This window comes from Homo sapiens, chromosome 11, assembly GCF_000001405.40.
Source record: "Homo sapiens chromosome 11, GRCh38.p14 Primary Assembly".
Lineage (NCBI taxonomy): Eukaryota > Metazoa > Chordata > Mammalia > Primates > Hominidae > Homo > Homo sapiens.
Window position 1 is genome coordinate 33,829,697 of NC_000011.10, and position 19,013 is coordinate 33,848,709.

General features: G+C 40.9%; 1 annotated feature.

The window, feature by feature from the left end:
* Positions 1-90: a silencer, noted in NCBI's record as "silent region_3244". NCBI's record gives its function as "represses an Ori minimal core promoter by ATAC-STARR-seq in GM12878 lymphoblastoid cells {active_cell/tissue: GM12878}" and the evidence as "EXISTENCE:reporter gene assay evidence [ECO:0000049][PMID:35858748]".

Genomic DNA, 19,013 nt, shown 5'->3' on the forward strand with positions numbered 1-19,013 from the left:
GCAAGGGTAAGCAGTGCCCCTGTGTGGCCAAAATGGTGGTGGCAGGAAAACCAATGAGAAAACACAAAGGCAAATCCACGAATATGAGGGTCAGCTCTAGGTTTGGCCTCCCCTTTACAAGTTTCTTCTGCACTTTCCACTCCAGAAAGCCTGGCTTTGATTTTGTTTTGGACATGGCAATTTATACTCACTTTTTATCCGGTTATTCTCTCACTTCATGTGGATTGGAGCCCCAGATGTGCCCAGTCTCAGATTCGAGTCTGTCCTAGCCATAGAACACCAGTTCCCTCAAGGAGAGAGGTGGAGTCAAGATCAGGACCAACAGGACATCAGAGTTCAGGGCTGTCTGATGAATTCAAGGAGATTCTTATTTAATCCATTTTCCATAGGAAACATCGACTCCTGGAAGAAGTTGGTGTGGGCTGCCTGGGAAAGGAGGTTTAGCATCATATGTGGGCTGGTGGTGGTGTGCTCTGGCTAACTTAACATCAAGGGATAGGGAGGTTCTGTCCTCAGACCCAACTGAGTTCCCATCATCCCCCACACCATGCCACCCATCAGTGAGTACAACCTGTAGGGATGCCCTGGAGGCCAAACTTCCCCTAAGTGCTGGGCTTTCAGCTTCTCTTCCCAGAACATCAGACTGACTTAGCTTTGGAATAACTTGGAATTGCAGACTGAGCATTCTGAGAATTCTGGTGATGTTGCAGGGTAACCTGAAATGGGCTGCCCTCCAGTGGGGTTATTGGGCAGAGTAAGGGTCAGGATGGAAGTCTGCCACTTTAGCTGAGGCCAATTTATTATTCATTTATTTATTTATTTAGAGACAAATTCTCGCTCTGTCACCCAGGCTGGAGTGCAGTGGTGCGATCTCAGGTCACTGCAACTTCCACCCACCAGGCTCAAGTGTTCTCATACCTCAGTCTCCCGAGTGGCTGGGACTACAGGCATGCACCACCACGCCTGGCTAATTTTTGTATTTTTAGTAGAGACAGTGTTTTGCCATGTTGGACAGGCTGGTCATGAACTCCTGGCCTCAAATGATCCACCAGCCTCAGCCTCCCAATGTGCTGGGCTTACAGGCATGAGCCACCGCACCCAGCCAAGAAATTTAAGTACATTTTCCTTCTATTTATATTTTGTAAGGGGCAGAACCAGGATTTGGACCCAGGTGTCTAACTCTGGAAGCTAAAAGCTTTCCATTATAACAAGTTGCCTCACCTGAGCCCGACTTAAAATCAGGTGATCTCAGCTATACTGGACTCCAACAGGAGTCATTGCTATTTTCTTGCTGTTGTATTTTATTCAAGTTTAGAAAAAGAAATAGCCAAAAAGCTCAGGCAAGGAGCAGACAAGACACAAAGAACTCTGAGTTCTGCCTGGGGAAGGAGCAGGGGACATGAGTCACCTTCCCCTCTAGACACAGTACTGCAATAGGATAATCCTCTCCCAACTTCCAAATAGAAGTGGCCAAATTTAGTGGCAGGAGGAGCTAGGGGCAATGTGATTGCGACTCCCACCTCTATCCAGAGAACTGGCCCTAAAGCATCTCACCTGCTGTTTCACCGAGAGGCTCGTGGTCTCCAGCATCACCCAAGAGCTTCTTAGTAATACAGAATCTTAGGCCCCACACCCAACCCACTGAATCAGAATGTGCATTTTAACAAGATCCCCAGGTGATCCTCATGTACATTACAGTTGGAGAAGTGCCTAGAACTTGACCCTTCACCTCGTTATAACTCAGTAACTTCACTTGTGAATCAGGCACAATAGCACCTGCTTGACTCACCACTCCTGGCTGTATGAGGATCAGAGAGGACAATGTAGGAAGTTAGAGGCAGAGGTGTTCAGGAAGTTATCTCTCGTGCCCCCTCTACCTTCTCCACTGCCATGGAAGCCTAATCTCTCTCTCAGAGGGAGAAGACTAGCAGGTGGCTCTTCTCTGGAAGAGCAGAGGAAATCAGGGACCCTCAACAGCCCATCCTCCATGGCCCCTGGGGGAATCTCTGAAGATTCTAGCTTTTCAACTGAAAGTTAGGCTGTAATTGACACTGTGTAATCCAGTAGACGGAATTTTGCAGAAATAAATATGAAGCTTATATTTGGGTTTTTAAAAAATCAAATTAGGCTGGGTGCTGTGGCTCACGCCTATAATCCCAGCCCTTTGGGAGGCCGAGGCAGGTGGATCACCTGAGGTCAGGAGTTTGAAACCAGCCTGGCGAACGTGGAAAAACCCCATCTTTACTAAAAATACAAAAATTAGCCAGGCATAGTGGTGCATACCTGTAATCCCAACTACTCAGGAGGCTGAGACAGGAGAATCTCTTGAACTTGGGAGGCAGAGGGTGCAGTGAGCAGAGATCGCACCACTGCACTCCCGCCTGGGTGACAGGGCAAGACTCTGTCTCAAAAAAAAAAAAATCAAATTATATAACAAATTATTCATGTGTGTATATATATATATATAGATATTAGGTTGGTACAAAAGTAATTGCGGTTTTTGCATTGTTAGAATTTTCCGTTTGATATTGGAATAAAACATAAGGCAAGAAAAGATAAAATTAAGAACATAATTCTTATTTACATTTAAGAATGTAAATAAATGTGGTTACCGTATACATCATTTTAATGGGCATTTCTCGCTTTATGTTTTTTTGCTAGTTTATTTTATGTTTATTTTAGACTATGGAAATGATGTTAGACAAAAAGCAAATTCGAGTGATTTTCTTATTTGAGTTCAAAATGGGTTGTAAGGCAGCGGAGACAGCTCGCAACATCAGCAGTGCGTTTGGCCCAGGAACTGCTAACAAACATACAGTGCGGTGGTGGTGCAAGAAGTTTTGCAAAGGAGACAAGAGCCTTGAAGGTGAGGAATGTAGTGGCCAGCCGTCGGAAGCTGACAATGACTAATTGAGAGCCATCACTGAAGCTCATCCTCTTACAACTACATGAGAAGTTGCCGAAAAACTCAGCGTCGACCATCCTACTGTTGTTCGGCACTGAAAGCAAATTGGAAAGATGAAAAAGCTCGATAAGTGGGTGCCTCATGAGCGGAGTGAAAGTTTAAAGAAAAAACATCGTTGTGAAGTGTCGTCTTCTCTTATTCTACGCAACAGCAACGAACCATTTCTCAATCGGATTGTGATGTGCGCCGAAAAGTCGATTTTATACGACAACTGGCGATGACCACCTCAGTGACTGGACCCAGAAGAAGCTCCAAAGCACTTCCCAAAGCCAAATTTGCGCCAAAAAAAAGGTCATGGTCACTGTTTGGTGGGCTGCTGCTGGTCTGATCCACTATAGCTTTCTGAATCCCAGAGAAACCATTACATCTGAGAAGTATGCTCGGCAAATCGATGAGCTGCACCAAAAACTGCAATGCCTGCAGCCGGCACTGGTCAACAGAAAGAGCCCAATTCCTCTCCACGACAATGCCCAGCCGTATGTCACACAACCAACACTTTGAACAAAAGTTGAAGGAATTGGGCTACACAGTTTTGCCTTATCCGCCATATTCACCTGACCTCTCGTCGACTGACTACCACTTCTTCAAGCATCTCGACAACTTTTTGCAAGGAAAACGCTTCCACAACCAGCAGGATGCAGAAAATGCTTTCCAAGAGTTCAAATGTTGAAGTATGGATTTTTACACTACAGCAATAAGCAAACATTTCTCATTGGTAAAAATGTGTTGATTGTAATGGTTCCTATTCTTACGAATAAAGATGTGTTTGAGCCTAGTTATAATGATTTCAAATTCATGGTCTGAAATTGCAATTACCTTTGCACCAACCATATATATATATAATGTATTTCTAATAAAACATTTTTCCTGCTCTTTCTCCAGTGCCTAGAATAGTGCCTGGCACATAGTAGGGGCTCGGTAAAATTTGCTGAACTAATGAATGGGCTCTATGAATCTTATCAATGTTCTAAATGCTAGCATTTTATAGATAAGGAAACTGAAACATCAAAAAGTTAACTTCCATAAGTCCCACAGCTAATTTCTTTATCTGTAAAATGGGCGTATAAATATTGCCTTTCTCATTATTATGGGGAGCAAATGAATTACCATATAACACCTTAGGGAGTGTGTCTGGCTCAGTGTTCGTGCTCACAACTGTCTATGGGCTGGGCGCAGTGGCTCATGCCTGCAATCTCAGCACTTTGGGAGGCCGAAGCAGGTGGATCACAAGGTCAGGAGTTCGAGACCAGTCTGGCCAACATGGTGAAACCCTGTCTCTACTAAAAAATACAAAAATTAGCCGGGTGTGGTGGTGGGCACCTGTAATCCCAGCTACTTGGGAGGCCGAGGCAGGATAATCGCTTGAACCTGGGAGGCAGAGGTTGCAGTGAGCCAAGATCGTGCCATTGCACTCCAGCCTGGGTGACTAGAGTGCAATCGACTCAGCCTCCCAAAGTGCTGGGATTACAGGCGTGAGCCACCAAGACCAGCCCTAAAAATTCCTTTCCATTGATGCTTCCACTCAAGCTACCATCCCATTTTTCTCCTTTTACCATCTTTTAAAACTCCTTTTCAAAAAAGTAGATCTGAAAATTAATCTATGTTGTTAGAAGTAAATAAATCAATTATTCATCAAGCTATATATATTTATGTGCACTTTGAAATATATACATATACATATTACTTTACTGAAAAATTAAGAGAGAGAGTAGCTTAACTAACCTCCTCTTCTCTAGTTTTCCTTCCCTCCTCTCCCATTCAATCATTATTCTCCCTTGCAAATTGGCTTCCATGCACAGTGTCAAAACTGTGGCCCCTGCCACATCTCAGCTTCCTCACTATACACTGTCACCATGCTGTCCTGACATTCTCCTGTCTCCAGTGTCCACTCGATGGTTCGAGTTCTTTGTCCACTTTATGAGTCTTGCTTTTCATAGGGCTATATACACCTCTGCGGCCTTTCCTTGCTGTCTCTGCCTGCTAATGTTCTGCCCCTTTGTCGAGATCTAACTCAATTCTGCCCCCTTGTCAAGATCTAGCACCTTCTCCTGGAAGTCTTCTCTGGTTTCCCTAATTCTACATCATCATTGCTCACTTAGCACTTTGGGATAGTGCCACTTGTGGGCCAGGTACTGTCTGAGGTAATGGAAGACATTCAGCCCTGCATTAGTTATTGGTTTAATATTAAGTTTTGCTATTTGCATCACAAGAAATACAGACTCATTTAAGATTTACCTCAAGTACCTGAGGGTGTATAAGGGTGATGTCTTACCACCTTTCCATCTGAGAATTTGTCTTCTGGGAATAGAAAATAGTAATGGATTCTTGACCATTGTTTCTAAGCAAAGCATGCCAGAGCTCATGTCACCCTTTCTAGTAAGAAGTTGTGAGTTTGCACTGAAGAATTATAATCAAAATGCGTAAAGCTCCCTCCCCTACCTCCACTTAAAGTTCTTTAGGGATCCTTCTGGCTCATCTGCAAGCTCCCTAATTTAAGGGACAAGTCTTTTTTCCCTTAAAAAGTTTTCCTGGGTTTAACTCCTCCCCTTCTCCCACTTTCTGCAGAGTCAATGGATTTACCCTTGAGAAGATTCTGCCTTCTGTCCTGGGGCAAGTGATGAAAGTCTCCAGCTCCCAGTCTGACTCACGAGAGTAGACAGCCTTCTGCAGAAGTTGAATTATAGACTGTGGCCCCTCCCCTGTTTTCTACCAACAGTATGAATGAGCAACACCAGACTGGACCTCAAGAATGTTTCTCCAACTGGAATTTCTCTTCTCTGACAGAGACTTGAAAGCAGCTATAGTAAAATCTAGGCATGATGATCTATGTTGGGCACTGCACAAGCACTCCTCATTCAACAAGGTGCCGTTCATATCAGAGATGCTTTATTATTGTGATAATTTTTATATGTTTATTTTTATTTTGTTTATTGGAAAGATTGACGATTTGTATGTTTCTTACAACTTCCCGGCAGATGGCAGTAAAGTGTCTTGTTTTAAGATGTTTACTATATTTTGTTCAGAGTCCATTTACAAAGGAAAAATGAGTCAGTATTCGAAATCAACATGTCTAACATCATCTGAAAATAACTTTTACTTCTAAACAAGAAATCACTTTATCTATTGGTAGGTGAGTGTTTAAATGTTTTTTAAATCCCTATTGTTGTTAGAGCTCTGGCTAATTAATATTTCATACTGCATTTCACATTATCTGCTGTGTTCGCTGCACCCAAAAGCTATTCCTGAATTCCTCGTTTAAATCTACAAGAACTTTCATTATTAGATTAATCACCATCAAATGACATACACTCAGATAATCCACAAAATGAATTACATGCACATAAATTAGAGATTACCACTTCGTGATCTGGCTAGTTCTATAATGGAAATTGCTTGTTGTGCATATCCTGTTAATAAAAATATTAATGCTTGATAATATTTAGCAGTCTGTTAATTATATATTTTGTATGTTATGTACATGTAAGTTCCGAGATAAAATACCATTGATTTTTTGCTCAGATACTACAAAGGAGTTTTTAAAATTAATTTCAGAATCAGAAAACATGGAAGGAAATCAAAGACAATCAATTAGACTACTGAATATATTTTTGGAGAAGATAGAATCAGGAGGCAAAAAATGCTAAATTAGGATGTGGATTTAATTTCAATATTTATGTCAGACATAACTTGAGAAAAAAGTGGAAGAGAAAAAGAAAACATTAAACTAGATTTTCTTTTCCCTATCGAGGTACTTGGCTATGTAATTTGAATTTTTGTCCATAGAACACTCTATTTGAAATTTGTCTACAAAATGTATACATAAGAATTTTAACTTTCCATCGTATTTAACTACTATCAGTACAGGTAGGAAGTTTTCAGAAATTACTTATTCATAAATTTTTTTTTTTTTTTTTTTTTTTTTTGAGACGGAGTCTCGCTCTGTCGCCCAGGCCGGACTGCGGACTGCAATGGCGCAATCTCGGCTCACTGCAAGCTCCGCTTCCCGGGTTCACGCCATTCTCCTGCCTCAGCCTCCCGAGTAGCTGGGACTACAGGCGCCCGCCACCGTGCCCGGCTAATTTTTTGTATTTTTAGTAGAGACGGGGTTTCACCTTGTTAGCCAGGATGGTCTCGATCTCCTGACCTCATGATCCACCCGCCTCGGCCTCCCAAAGTGCTGGGATTACAGGCGTGAGCCACCGCGCCCGGCCCATAAATTCTTACCAATGTCAAACCGACCACGCCCCTTATTATTCTACCTTAATGGTTTCTGTGTTTTCTCTATATTGCAAATTCTTCAGGGATGAAAAAAAAGTGTCAACTGAAGAATAAAGATGTTAGAATGGGTTGGCAGTACTTATCACATAATACTAATAAACAGAGGGTAAATGCACTTCAATGGTGTTAAGAATTCAAAGATTTGAAATATATATAATATAAAGTGATAAAGATGCTATGATAAAGAGAAACAATATCATGTGCACGTAATATACATGACTCGGCTTTGACAAGACAACATCTAGGGAGAAGATTATCCAGGAAACTACTAGTGCAGTGATGCAAATTGTCTTCCGGCAGGGCATGATGGCTCCCGCCTGTAATGCCAGCACTTTGGGAGGCCAAGGTGGGCGGATCACTTGAGGTCAGGAGTTTAAGTCCAGCCTGGCCAACATGACGAAACCCCATCTCTACTAAAAGTACAAAATTAGCCAGGTGTGGTGGTGCGTGCCTGTAGTCCCAGCTACTCGGAAGGCTGAGGCAGGCCCTCAGCCTTGAACCCGGGAGACAAAGGTTGCAGTGAGCCCAGATCGTGCCACAGCACTCCAGCCTGGGCAACAGAGTGAGACTCAGTCTCAAAAAAAGAAAGGAAGGAAGGAAGGAAGGAAGGAAGGAAGGAAGGAAGGAAGGAAACAAGGAAGGAAGGGAGGGAAAATTGTCTTCCTTAGCAAAAACTATCAAAAATTCAATAAAATATGGCACATTGATACCAAATAATGTTACACAGTTTTAAGGAATAAAATATAAAAACCAAATAGTTAAACTGATAGCAGAAGTAATGAATGAACTAATTTTGAAAAAGATTATTTATCTTTATTATTTCAGATACAGTCTCTGGTATAAGCCAGGTAGAACACATAAAGCTATTAGAACTACACATAAAGAACACATGAAACTATTAGAACACAAACATTTCATATGTGGATATTTGGGTGAGGGAGGTTGTCCAGTAGATGACAAAAGAAAGCATGTACAAACTTTCAGAAGGCTACTTGCAAATGTAAAGAAAAGTTACATACAGCAATGCCACAAGTATGCATAGAAATCATAATGGATTGCAACAGAGGATCCTAAAAAAGGTCTAGAGTATTTTATACTTTTTGTTATGTGTCTTTACATTTGATATTGAATGATGCAGCAAATATCTATTTTACAGCACTGAATTTTTTTATATCATCTAAGAAATTATATAACTACTCTTTTTTTTTTGCTAAAAAAAAAAAAGGGATAGATGTGCAGAACGTGTAGGTTTGTTACACAGGTATACGTGTGCCATGGTGGTTTGCTGCTCCTATTGACCCGTCCTCTAAGTTCCCTCCCCTCACCCCCAACCCCCAAACAGGCCCTGGTGTGTGTTGTTCCCCTCTCTGTGTCCATGTGTTCTCATTGTTCAACTCCCACTTATGAGTGAGAACATGCGGTGTTTGGTTTTCTGTTCCTGTGTTAGTTTGCTGAGAATGATGGCTTCCAGCTTCATCCATATCCCTGCAAAGGACATGATCTCATTCCTTTTCATGGCTGCATAGTATCCCATGCTGTATATGTACCCCATTTTCTTTATCCAGTCTATCATTGATGGGCATTTGGGTTGGTTCCATGTCTTTGCTATTGTAAATAGTGTTTCAATAAACATACGTCTGCATGTGTCTTTATAGCAGAATGATTTATATTCCTTTGGATATATACCCAGTAATAGGATTGCTGGGTCAAATGGTATTTCTGGTTCTAGATCCTTGAGGAATCGCCCTACTGTCTTCCACCATGGTCGAACTAATCTACATTCCCACCAACAGTGTAAAAGCGTTCCTATTTCTCCACAGCCTCACCAGCACCTGTTTCCTGACTTTTTAATAATTGCCATTCTGACTGGCATGAGATGGTATCTCATTTTGGTTTTGATTTGCGTTTCTCTGATGATCAGTGATGTTGAGCTTTTCATATGTTTGTTGGCTGCATTGATGTCTTTTTTTGGGAAGTGTCTGTTCATATCCTTTGCCCACTTTTTGATGGGATTGTTTGTTTTTTTCTTGTAAATATGATATAACTAACTCTTTTGCTTCAACCAAATGTTGGAATATATTGTAAAGGCATTTATGGAACATAAAATTTTAAATCATTGTTGAATATAGGATGGGAAACTTGAGGAGATGCCATCTTGCTACTAGAACTTAATTAGAGAGAGTATGCAATGCATGTTGATGATATGAATAAAAATGTAGATTCTAAAATGCAAGTCAGAAGTATACTGAAAATATCTTCTTTAAAATGCATTGTTCAGCCTAAATTAGGAGTAAAGATAAAGTTAATGTTATATGCAAACTTAGACAGGAACCCAAAGTCAGTATATATAATTCCCTTGAAAGCATAACATTATGGGCTTAGAAAATTTTTTAGGAAAAATTAACTTATGATATTCACACAAAGATATTATTGCTGCTAAACAAATTGCAGAGTTTCTCAACATTAAGCTGCTAAACAAATTGCAGAGTTTCTCAACATTAAGCCCAATTTTTCTAATATAAAAATACCAGAAAGAAGAGGAAGAATAATTTCTTTTTTTTCTTTCTTTTTTTTTGAGATGAAGTCTCACTTTGTCACCCAGGCTGGAGTGCAGTGGCGCAATCTCTGCTCACTGCAATTTCCGCCTCTGGGCTCAAGGTATTCTCCCACCTCAGCCTCCTGAGTAGCTGGGATTACAGGAGTGCCCCACCATATTCACCTAATTTTTGTATTTTTAGTAGAGACAGTGTTTACCATGTTGGCCAGGCTGGTCTTGATCTCCTGACTTCAGGTGATCCGCTCGCCTCAGCCTCCCAAAGTGCTGGGATTACAGGTGTGAGCCACCGTGCCTGGCCAGGAAGATTAATTTCAAATGTCATTTCTACAGTCAATCCACCTGTGATCCCAAATTTATTTCTATTTTTCTCTCTATAGGTTACAGTCATATTTTCTTTAAAGGAAAGATTTATATTGCAGAAGGACTATATGGTCTTTTCTGTGTCTTAGATTAGTATTTCTCAAATGTTCCTGTGCATATAGAATGCGGGGGATCTTATTAAAATGCAAATTCAGATTCAGTAACTCTGGGTTGGGACCTGAAATTCTGCATTCCTAACAAGCCCCTGATGATGCTTTGATGCTGGATATGTGGAGTAGGAAGGTTCCAGATATCGCATGTGATTTGAAGAATTGCTGTGAATATGAAGTACCAAGGCTGCGTTAAAAATGTACAATTGAAATTGACTGACAAGCATATTAAAGGCTTTTATAGATCATTCATCAATGTACAAAGCCCTAAAAACCTGAAGTTGTCTTTTAAAATCTAATGTTCTTTCACTAAAATATTGCAAAGTCTTTGTTACAATAACTTACTAGATCCACTTCCAAATAACTTCATGCCTTTCAAGATACAACTAATTTTGCCAATAGCAATATCAATGGAGAATGTGGCTTATCAAAATTAAATACATTAAGCTGGGTACCGTGGCGTGTGCCTGTAGTCCCAGTTACTGGGGAGGCAGAGTGGGGAGGATCACTTGAGACCAGGAGGTCAAGCCTGCAGTGAGCTGTGATCGCGCCACTGCACTCCAGCCTGGGGACAGAGCAAGACCCTGTCTCAAAAACAAAACAAAACAAAACAACCAATGTAAGGCCTACAATCAAGAAGAAAAGTCCACCAATCTGATGATCATTTCCATAAAATATAAGCAATAAAACAAGTAAGAATTAAAACTGTCAAAAAGAATTTTACTTCCACAAAGACAAGATGTCTTTTTTACAACAAATTATTAAATCCAAGTGACTTTGAGTTCTTAATATTATAATTAATCATTTGAATTTTTCAATATTTTATAATGAATTATTTGCTTGCATAATTTACATGGAATTACTGCCAGTCCTTGTTATTATTGAGAAATAAATAATATAACTTTTTAACTTGAGGAAAGATTAGCTTTTTCAAATTTGTACGAAATGCCATATGGGCTAGTGATAGCCTTGGTTTGGATAGTTTACTAAATAAAGAATAAAATTACCAGTGGAACTCATCTGCCTGGTCTCAAGCTCTTGATATCCTGAAATTGCTCGTGTGGTTCAAATAATCCATATATAGTCTGACCCAGGAGAGGATTTTAATGGTCCACCAGATAGATTGTTAAAAGGATACCTGTGGTACCAAGGAAAACAGGATTCTTGGCCATGGATCTGCCTTCTGGGTACTTAGGAAGACCAATTACCAAGTCTTCATGGGAAAAATAGGAACTATTGACCTGCGTGGCATAGAACCCTGGAATTGGAAGCTTGTCCAGGGTCCAAGGCAGCTCCAGCTATTATATTAAGAGTTTCTTTATCCCTTCCCCAGTAGTCTGCACTCCAGCCATTCAAATAACCCACCTTCTCCCTCCTCCTTTCCCTTTTCCTTCTTTTTCTGCCTCTACTACTGATCTCTGTGTAGCTCAATTAGTAAGAGAATCTGACTGGACTAATAAGGTCACTCTTGTTCCTGCTGGACAAAACTCTCCTAAACCCGGACTTGTGTCAAAAGAACCCCTTGGGAAAACTCTTCTAACCAGGGGACAGTGGATGGGGACCCTTCACTTACAGGGCTGGGGATAAAAATTGACTGTGTAGCGAAACTTTTGAAAACAGTTGTTTGTTTAAAAACACTCTTGACGGAAATTATCTTTATAAACAACATTCATTTTCCTGACTATAAAAGCAGTATCTGCTTGTTTTAGAAAAATATAGAAAAAAGTAAAGAAGAAACATAAAATAATCACTGTCCATTTTTGTTGTATTTTCTAGTTAAATATGTTTGTGGCTGGGTGCATGGTGGCTCATGCCTGCAATTCCAGCACTTTGGGAGGCCAGTGCAGGCAGATTGCTTGAGCCGAGGAGTTCGAGACCAGCCTGGACAGCATGGTGAAACCCCATCTCTACAAAAAAAAAAAAAAAAAAAAAAAAAAAAAAATTAGCTCGGTGTAGTGGTGCATGCCTGTAGTGCCAGCTACTTGGGAGGCTGAAGTGGGAGGATCACTTGAGCCTGGGCAGCAACCTAGGTACAATGAACCATGATTGTGCCACTGTACTTCAACCTGGGTGACAGAGCGAGACCCTGTGTCAAAAAATATCTATATCTCTCTAAATATAATATATATACATATATATGTTTGTGTGTGTACTTACATGCATATTGAAAACATATATAACATTTGAGATTATACTACACATATTCTTTTTTCCTTTATTTTGTGAGATTTTTTTCTAAGTGATAAAAAAATTCTTCATAAACACTTTTGCTAACTAGATCCCTCATCTTCCGACAAGAGATGCGCTATTATCAGCAACTTCACTATTGTGAGGCAGATGTGGATTTTAACCAGACTTCATCTGTATGACAATATTGGAGGGGTAGCTGTGGGGACAACTCACTGTATTGTGCCTGGGGTTTTTCACCCCCAGACCTGACAGGAAAAATAGCTGGTTTCTGTCTCCAGGTCAGCTCTGGCAGCCGGGACTCCATCCACTGAACACAGGCTCCAAGAGGGGGAAGGACTGGCACGGGGATGTGGCGCACCTGCTTCCAGGAAGGAGCTGGTGGTAAAGGGTTACAGGATTAGAGAGCTAAGCTGAAGGGATGCACCTGGAGGCAGTCCTGCATGCTGGATTTACAACAGGAGCCTGGGCTTCGTATAAATGAGTAATGCTTCATGATGCTCTTTTCCGAGCAAGCTGCAAAAATTGGCAGGGGCCCTTCAGTGTGCTGTCGATGTGTCTGGAATTCAAATAATTTGATTCTGAGATACAATGACAATGGGAAGCAAGGCATTACCTTGCGAGAATGATGGCAGAGACAGCTGCTGCAACCAGCATCCATGGAAGAGGTTGCGCGAACAACTGTTCTCCCTTTGCCGTCCCCCTGAAATCTCTATTATGCCTCGCTGCTACTGCCCTTACTCAAGGGCATTAAATTAAAAAGTAATGTAGCTGATAATTCTTCCTTTCTTTTGCCCCAGTTCAGGCAGTGAAGAATGGGTAAAGTGAAATAAAAACCTTGACGGAAACTGATATGTCTCTTTAAAAAAATGATGCTGACATTAGACACAGCTCAGGAGGGTACAATTTGAATATCGGGTGGCATTGCAACGTACAGCATCACTTGCTTTCTTTGCTTTTAAATTTGTCTTTGTTGGCTGAACACGTTAATATTTTTCCAAGGTGTAATAGCTGGGAGGGTTCCATCAGGAATAACAGGAGATCTGGTGAGCACTGGGTTCTTTTATCTTCCAAATCATAAGGCATTTTGCTTGTGCTGGTTGTCATTTCCATTAGAAGAACTGATAAGCAGATTCTGACTTCATTTGCCCAAATATAGTGCTCTTGTTGGTAGAGCATTTAGCTTCTCTGAAGCACTTTATTTTTTATTTATTTATTTATTTATTTTTGAGACAGAGTGTCGCTCTGTCTCCCAGGCCAGAGTCCAATGGCACAATCTTGGTTCACTGCAACCTCCGCCTCCTGGGTTCAAGCAATTATCCTGCCTCAGCCTCCTGAGTAGCTGGGATTACAGGCACCCACCACCATGCCTGGCTAATTTTTGTATTTTTAGTAAAGATGGGGTTTCGCCATGTTGGAACCAGGCTGGTCTTGAACTCCTGACCTCAGGTGATCTGCCTGCCCCAGTCTATAAAGTACTGGGATTATAGGCTTAAGCCACCGACCCCTGCCAGCACTTTATTTTTTTAAGTCTTTTTTTTTTTTTTTTTTTTTTTGTCTAGGCCATAGCATTCTGGAGAAGAGCTCTAGACAAGAACTGTGAGCTCTTAGTTATGATTTCAGATTTGCTGTTGTGGCTTGCTATCTCTGGATCTCCTTTTTTCCATCTAGAAAAGGAAAAGTGTTGGGCTTTCCTCTCCAGATCCCCAATTCCCTGATTCTGTTATCTAATTTGATAATTTATTACTAATGGTAGCATTGGCAAAATTGCCAGGTATTTTGACTCCACCTTTCCTACAAAAATCAGTCTTTTAAAAAGAATTTGGAAAACAACATTTTGACTTTTTCTTAACCTCATAAATACTTAGTTCTCAGAATGTGAACATGTAAATAGTAATGGCAACCAATTACATAGCATTTACTGTGTAACGGGTATGGTTCCAATGTTTCATTTATTCTCACAACAACACTGTGAGGTATGTAGACAGATAAAAATTATTCTTCTAGCTTTACAATTGCTAAGAAATAACGTATAAGATGTCCTGTCTCTGCTATGGAAGTAGCAGATAAAAAATCATCAACGGCATGCCCCTAGATCCAGATTTTCTCCTAAATTCATGAATTCAGGGTAAAACCTTGGACAAAAAGCCAATGTCCAAGGAGCACAGATAAATTCAGCAGTGGTATCTGTTCACTTTCATGAAGACTGTCCAGGAACGTGGTCACAGGTTCACACTGACCTGTCTGGATGAAGGTGTCTTTCTTGCTACAGAGTTAGGATTGCAACCGGCCTGCATGGAGAACAGGATTCCTTCCTAATTAGCAATTGCTTACTTTGCAGCTGTTGCTCCTCAAGCCAGAGCAACCCACTGGTGCACAGGGGAATACTGGTGTGCCTAGAAGGGGTTACAGCGAGCCTAAATCATCGACACCCTTGGCAAGGCTGTTGGGCCCCAGCAGCTTCCCCGCCGTACTGCTGTATTCCATTCTGTATGTGCCAAGTTACAGGAATGAGTGGGAAACACCAGTAGAGAATGTATTCTCTCTTTCCTATTTGCTGTCACTGAGAGTGAGAATACAACCAAAATATCCATTTCACTTCAAGGTCAGGAATTCTTCATGGAACAAAAAAAGAGAAAATCATGGATAAAACAGAATAGCCACTCAAAAGAATCCAGAGTTATGCCTATTCCAATATTAAGGAGTTTCTTCAAGAAAATGAAATCATATTTACTTAGGGTTTCTCTTTTTCTCTCTTTTTTCATGTGTGTGTGTGTGTGTGTGTGTGTGTGTGTGTGTGTGTGTGTGTCCCAAGCAAGGTAAACTGTACTTCTTGTACCCAAAAATACTTTGAAAGACCAAAAGTAATGGGTAGGTCAGCCCTCTGGCAGTTATTGCTACCATCTTGTATTACCACTCGACCATAGTGATCCAGAAATGGTGCCAGGGGAGAATCTACTCAGCTGGGCCTCTCTCGTTCCACACAATCTAGGGAGTCAGGTTCCCAGCCTTGCAAGTCTAGATGTATGATCTTATCAGTGTCCCAGAGAAGACAGGCTATGGGAGGGCAACCCATACAAACCAAACTCAGGCAAGGTTAAATTATAGCCCAGAATGCGATGTCAACATTCTGAAATTAAATTATCCAGGCAACTGGTAGCTACTCAGGAGACTGATGTGGGAAGATTGCTTGAACCCGGGAGGCAGAGGTTGCAGTGAGCCGAGATCACGCCACTGCACACTGCAGCCTGGGTGACAGAGCGAGACTCTGTCTCAAAAAAAAAAAAAAAAGGAAAAGAAAAAGAAAAAAAAAGCCCCACAAAACAAACAAACAACAAAAACAAAATGAACAAAATGATTACCCAGGCAACTGGACACTTCTAGGGAACTCTTCCTGCAGGGAAACTAGGAGAGAAGCCAAGCTAGACCAGGAGGTCATTGAATGAGTTTTGAGGCTGTTGAGAAGGCTCTTGAGTGAATCTGAACAAAGGGAAGAGGCCTAGAAAGTGTCCCTGAGGGTGGGGCACAGGGTGGCTCATGCCTGTAATCCAGCACTTTGGGAGGCTGAGATGGGAGGATTGCTTGAGCTCAGGAGTTCGAGACCCACCTGGACAACATAGCAAGACCTTGTTTCCACTTTTTTATAAAAATATTTTTTAAATTACACAAAAAAAGAAAAGAATAAAAGAAAAGAAAGTGTCCCTGAGTTGGTGATTGGATGGCCTGCTAGGCACAGTGCAAAGTGCTTTATATATACTGTGTTATTTAATTTGGTCCTCATAACAATATGTAATACTCTGTTATTATCCCCACATTACACCTGAGGAGACAAGACCCAGAGAAGTTAAATTGTCCAGTGTCACACAGCCGTTGTTTATGGTCAAAGGGTACAGAAGACTGTATGTTTATATATTTCTAGCTCTGTCCAGTAAGAGACCATGAGTTTTGTAAAAATAAGCTTTATTGAGGTATAATTTACATATGATAAAATCCACCCATTTTAAGCAGTCAATTCAATGAGTTTTAACAAATTTACAGTTATGTAATCATAACCACAGTCACCATATAGAACAGCCCCATCCAACCCTTATCTCTAGCTCTTGACAATCACAGATTTGTTTTTGGTCACTATAGTTTCCCCTTTTCTGGAATTTCATATGAATGGAATAATGCAGAGTTTAGTGTGCCTAACTGGCTGCTCTCACTTAGTGCAATGCTTTTGAGACCCATTCATGTCGTATTTGTCAGTAAAATTCATGTTGTATTTTGCCATAAAAAGGAAAAAAACAGGTACAGTCATCCATTTGTGTGTCTTCTTTAGTGAAGCATCTATTAAAATCATTTCCCCATTTTAATTGATTTGTTTTCTATTACTGAGATGTAATCACTCTTTACATATTCAGGATACAAGTACAAGTCTTTTTTCAGACACGTGTTTTGCAAGTATTTTCTCCCAGTCTATACCTTGCCATTTCAAAATTCTTTTGAGTGACTATTCTGTTTTATACATGATTTTCTCTTTTTTTGTTCCATGAGGAATACCTTGCCATTTCTTTTTCTTGATGGAATCTTTGCAAAAGCAACATTTTAAAATTTTGGTAAAGTTCATAATTGTGTTTTCCTCTTCCTATTGAGACAGAGGAAATCACTGGCTTAATGTAAATTTTTATAAATAATTTATTGGATTGGGCGTGGTGATTCCCAGGCTGTGCATTTATTATACATTCAGAACCTGTATAAATGGTGTCTTGAGGTTTTGCATTCTCAGGGAAAACTTTTGTTTTCTCTCATCCAGAATCTAGACAGAGGTTGCAAACTTCCTTGACATCACTCTGTGCCTGTGGATAGATTTTTTTTCCCAGTCCACCCCTTCACTGTGGATGTAGCCCTTTGCTAGCTCTGCCTTATGTAGGATTCTCACTTCCAACCACCCATTCACAACAATCCTCAATGTATTCTCCCTGCATGGAGCCAGATGGTAGTGGCCAGTAACTCCCCAGGGCATCTCAGTGCCAGCTTTATGCAATGTTTCTCACCTCTATTTATTTCTGGACCTGATGTTTTCTATATTTGTTTTTCCTGCAGCTCAATTTTGCGTCTAGGTATCTGGATACGTTTTATTCATCATTAATAGGTGTTGTGGTTATCTTAGGCTTCCATTTTGCCCAAACTAAACATTCTCCAGCTTAGGTTTTACTTCATCTTTGTGCACATCTGGATCTGACTTATTTCACCTTCCCCTGTTGGGTGATGCTGGGTTTGTGCCTTCCTGTTCACCTGGGTTTCATTATAAGCCATGGTAAGTAGAATCAGAAGATTCACATTCCTTTCTAATGACCCCAGTTGCCCAACAGTTAAGACCAACTATCTTTTCTCTCTCTCTATTTTTGAGACAGAGTCTTCCTCTGTCACCCAGGCTAGAATGCAATGGCATGATCTGGGCTCACTGCAACCTCCATTTCCTGGGTTCAAACAATTCTTCTGACTTAGCCTCTGAGTAGCTGGGATTACAGGCACCTACCATCTTGCTCGGCTAGTTTTTGTATTTTTGATAGAGACGGTGTTTTACCATGTTGGCCAGGCTTGTCTCAAACTCCTGACCTCAAGTGATCCACCTGTCTTGGCCTCCCAAACTGCTGGGATTACAGGCATGAGGCACTGTGCCCGGCCATCTTTTCTCTTTAATCACTGGGTAATACAGGAAAGATTCTGTCTATATTCAAATGAGTTTTTTCTTTTCTCAGTAACTCATTTCCCCTGATTACACTAAGCAAGTAAAACATTAGAGAACACAGCAAATTGTGTTGCAATAAACAACTAAGACAATATTGCTTCAACAAAAATCCTGCACAAGATGGTTAAAAAAGTCCCTATTATTAGTAGTAATAATAAAAACTTTTTTTAGTGCCAACGAAGTCATTTTAGCTACCTTTGAAATATATCTGCAACCTGTTGACATAGTTTGGATCTGTTTCCTCACCCAAATCTCTTGTTCAATTGCAAACCCCACTGTCGGAGGTCACGCCTGGTGGGAGGTGATTGGATCATGGGGGCGCTTCCTTCATGAATGGTTTGGCACCACCACTTTGGTGTTGATCTCGTGATAGAGTTCTCACAAGATCTGGTTGTTTAGAAGTGTATAGCACCTCCCCGCCACCTTCCTCCTGCTCTGGCCATGTGAAATGCCTCGCTTCCCTTTCACCTTCCGCCATGAGTAAAAGCTCCCTGAGGCCTCCCCAGAAGCAGATGCCACCACACTTCCTGTACATCCTGCTGAACTGTGAGCCAATTAAGTCTCTTTTCTTTATAAGTTACTCAGTCTCAAGTATTTCCTTATAACAATGCAAAAATGGCCGAATACACTTGCCTACTTTTCTCTATCCCCATTTTAACACCTTAATCCAAGCCACCATCATCTCTCACCTGGATCATGCAACAGCCTCCCAGCTCGTCTCTCTAGGGTCCTCCATGCACACACAGAGTGATCTTTCAACACACTAATCAGAGTATGTATGTCACTCTCCTGCTTAAAAGATTCCAAAGTCTTGCCACTGCA